The sequence below is a fragment of the Homo sapiens genome, chromosome 20, assembly GCF_000001405.40.
Source record: "Homo sapiens chromosome 20, GRCh38.p14 Primary Assembly".
Lineage (NCBI taxonomy): Eukaryota > Metazoa > Chordata > Mammalia > Primates > Hominidae > Homo > Homo sapiens.
In genome coordinates, this window is record NC_000020.11 from 4,628,429 (window position 1) to 4,632,759 (window position 4,331).

Genomic DNA, 4,331 nt, shown 5'->3' on the forward strand with positions numbered 1-4,331 from the left:
GGAAGATAACCAGGTAACAAGAAACAGGGAACAAATGGTAAACAAATTAAACTCTAACAGGTCAATAATCACTTTAAATGTAAACGGACTAAATACATTAATTAAGAGACAGGATTGCAATGGGTACAAAGTTATAATTAGAAAGGAAGAATAAGTTCTGATGTCCTATTGCACAGTAGAGTATCTCAAAATAGCTAGAAAAGAGGATTTTGTATGTGCCTGTAACAAATAAATAATAAATGAGGTGATAGATATGCTAATTACCCTGATTTGATCATCACACAATATATTTATGTATCAAAACATCACATTGTACTCCATAAATACATACAATTATTATGTGTAAAAAATTTTTAAATTAAAAATGAGACAAGATTAGCTGAGTAGATTTAAAAACATTACCCAATGTTATGCTGTCTATAAAAAACTCAATTCAAACATAATGATATAGCTAAGTAAAAAGTAAAAGCATAGAAAAAGATATATCACATAAGTATTAAATTTTAAAAAGGAAGAGTGGCTATATGAATATCAAGGTAGACTTCAGAGCAAAGAAATTACCAGACACGGAGAGGAATTTTACATGATGATAAAAGATCAAGATCAATCTACCAACAAGAGATAGCAAACCTAAGTGTGTATGCACCAAAAACAGATCTTTCAAATACATGAAGCAAAAACTGATAAAGCCAAAGGAAGAAATTGACAAATCTACTATTATAGTTGGAGACTTCAACACTCTTTTCTCAGTAATTGATAGAACTACTAGATAGAAAATCCACAAGGAGCCAGGCGTGATAGCTCATGCCTGTAATCCCAGCACTTTGGGAGGCCAAGGCAGGAGAATTACCTGAGGCCTGAAGTTTGAGACCAGCCTGGGAAACTTAATGAGACCCTGTCTTTACAAAATAATAATAATTATTTTATTTTTGGCTATCAATCATGCCACATTATTTTTAATTACATACAAAGATCTAACATGCCATCCAGGGACCATTTTACCCACTGCTTTGATTGGTTGCCAATCTCTTGTCTCTCTCTTCAGCAATGGTGAGGCAGATACCTTTTCCTTGGGGAAGAGAAATCCATGGTATGTTGCCCTTGCAAACAACAAAAATGTTGGAAAGTCAAGTGGCAAAGCTGTTGCCATTGGCATCTTTCATGTGAACCACGTCAAGAGATCCAGGGTGCCTCTCTCTGTTGGTGATCACACCAATTCTTCCCAGGTTGGCACCTCCAGTCACCATACACAGGTTACCAGTGTCGAACCTGATGAAGTCAGTAATCTTGCCAGTCTCCAAATCAATCTGAATGGTGTCATTCACCTTGATGAGGGGATCAGGGTAGCAGATGGTACGAGCATCATGAGTCACCAGATGAGGGATTCCTTTTGTGCGCACAAATATTTTTTCTCACTTTTCACAACTTGTACTTGGCCTCCTCAGGTGTAATACGATGTACAGCAAAGTGACCCTTGGTGTCACAGATCAGACAGAAATTCTCTCCCATCTTGTCAATGCTGATGACATCCATGAATCCAGCAGGGTAGGTTATATCAGTGCGGACCTTGCCATCGATCTTAATGAACCGCTGCATGCAAATCTTCTTTACTTCCTCTCCTGTCAGGGCATACTTAAGTCTGTTCCTTATGAAAATGATGAGGGGGAGACACTCTCTCAACTTGTGGGGACTGGTGGATGGATGAGGAGCAAACACACCAGTCAATTTATCCAGCATCCAATGCTTTGGAGCTGCTACCTGCTTTAGATGCTTCTTGGGACCACGAGCCATGGCTACGTTAGGCACAGAAAAAGAAAAAATAACAATTTTAAAAATTAGCCAGGCATAGTGGCACAAGCCTGTAGTCCTAACTACTCAGGAGGCTGAGGCAGGAGGATTACTTGAACCCAGGAGTTTGAGGCTGTAGTGAGCTATGACTGCACCACTGCACTCCAGCCTGGACAACAGAGATAGACCCTGTCTCTAAAAAAATAAAAAAGAAAATAATGAGGATATAGAAGAATTGAACAACACCTTCAACCAACAGGATCTAACAGAACAAACAACCCTATAACAGCAGAATACATGTGCTTTTCAAGTGCCTAGGGAGCATTCACCAAGATTAACCATGTCCTGGATTTTAAACCAATCTCAACAAATGCTAAAAAAAAATAATAAAACTAGAAATCCCTAATCACTGCCCTCTTTTCCAAGCTGCCTGTGACTCTTACCCAGATGTTCTCAATACATAAGCTTTCAACAGGGGAGAATGATAGAAATTACTGGAGAACCCCCATTCCAGGTCACTGAGGCACATGACCTTCTACTAAAGAAATAATTTCCAGTAAAAGGATACAATAAAGGGAATAGATGTTCCCACTAGGCCTGGATTAATGAGTACTCTATCTTGGAGAAAAGTGATTATTTCCAGAGCTGCCTCTGGCATTCTTCCTCCACCCAGAAGTGATGCTGTGAGAAGTGAAATTACTTATAAATCAGTAGTGCCCAAAGCACTTTATAAAGGAGGTCCCACATGTAAGCTCCACCAAGTATAAATAATAACACTAATAACACCTCCCTCATCTTGTCTTTATATCTGGGTCTTGGAGGATCAAAGCCATCCGAGAGGTACAGCTTCAAAGGCGTCTCCTTCCCAGATCCAGGAATGGGCGCACTCCAACAGGCCCCTACATCCTTGGCTTCCACATTTCACAACTGTTAGAGGCTCCAAAGCATTTACAGTGGTTGATAGAGTCTTTCTGAATATGATACCTCTTTTATAAAATTAATGGCACTATTTCCGGTGGTGGCATCAGCAAAGAAACTCCTTTTCAAGGGCAGCGTGTCCCTCCCATTGTTTGATTTTCTGCCATCCCTTTAAGTGCCTTAATGGAATGCTTGTACGAATAAAGTTGACTGCCAACAAATTTTGCTTTGAATATCTTTTACATTTCAAGGCACCCCTGGAAATAATCGGAGACTATGGGAGACATGGAATTAGGGAGCTGTGGGAAAGCAGGGTTGACAGTGTCATCTCAAGATTTGGTGGACTTCATTATTCAGTGGCCAGAAGTAGGGAGGAGGGGAGTCTGGGGCCTGAGAAGAGGGTTGCCCTGATGGGCTGGTACTGGCTCTGGAGTCACTGACTGTGCCAGGGACCAGATGCCTGCAGAAGCATGGTTCAGCGTTATACCTGCAGGGAGACGAATCACCCAAGAGTGTCTAAAACCATCCTCATAGGGATTTGTGGAACTTCAAACTTGAGAGAGATGATTTCGGGTATCTGGTGGAAGAAATTTCTAAGCAGCAAAGCATTCAAGAGGAAGCAGAGCATGGAAATTTGGAAAATTTGCAGCCTGAACATGGAATAGAAAAGAAAAACCCATTTTCTGGGGAGAAATTTAAGCCTGCTGCAGAAATTTGCATAAGTAACGAGGAGCCAAATTTTAACCTCCAAAACAATGGGGTAAGGTCTCCACGGTATGTCAAAAACCTTCATGGCAGCCCCTCCCATCACAGGTCCAGAGGCCTAGGAGGGAGAAATGGTTTCCTGGGCTGGGCTCAGGGACCCCTGCTGTGTGCAAAATAGGGACTTGGTGCCCTGCATCCCAGCTGCTTCAGCTGTGGCTAAAAGGGGCCAGAGTACAGCTCAGTCTGTAGCTTTAGAGGGTGTAAGCCCAAGCCTTGGCAGCTTCCACATAGTGTTGAGCCTGCAGGTACACAGAAGTCAAGAATTGAGGTTTGGGAACCTCTGCCTAGATTTCAGAGGATGTATGGAAATGCCAGGATGTTCAGGCAGAAGTTTGCTGCAGTGGTGGAGTCCTCATGGAGAACCTCTGCTAGGGTAGTGAGGGAGGGAAATGTGGGGTCAGAGCCTCCACACAGAGTCCTTAATAGGGCACTGTCTAGTGGAGCTGTGAGAAGAGAGCCACCATCATCCAGACTCCAGAATGGTAGATCCACCAACAGCTTGCACCATGTACCTGGAAAAGCCACAGAAATGCAGTGCCAGTTTGTGAAAACAGCCAGGAGTAGGGGACAGTACCCTGCAAAGCCACAGAGGTGGAGCTGCCCAAGGCTGTGGGAACTTACCTCTTGCATCAGTGTGACCTGGATGTGAGACATGGAGTCAAAGGAGATCATTTGGGAGCTTTAAGGTTTAATGACTGCCCTATTGGATTTCAGATTTGCATGGTGTCTGTAGCCCCTTAGTTTTGGCCAATTCCTCTCATTTGGAATGGGTATATTTACCCAGTGCCTGTACCCCCATTGTATCTAGGATGTAACTAACTTGTTTTGATTTTACAGGCTCATAGGAGGAAGAAACTTGC

At 42.4% G+C, this 4,331-nt stretch overlaps 1 pseudogene; it reads right to left on the reverse strand.

Moving 5' to 3' along the window:
- RPS4XP2 (ribosomal protein S4X pseudogene 2) lies at positions 995-1,794 on the reverse strand (annotated as a pseudogene).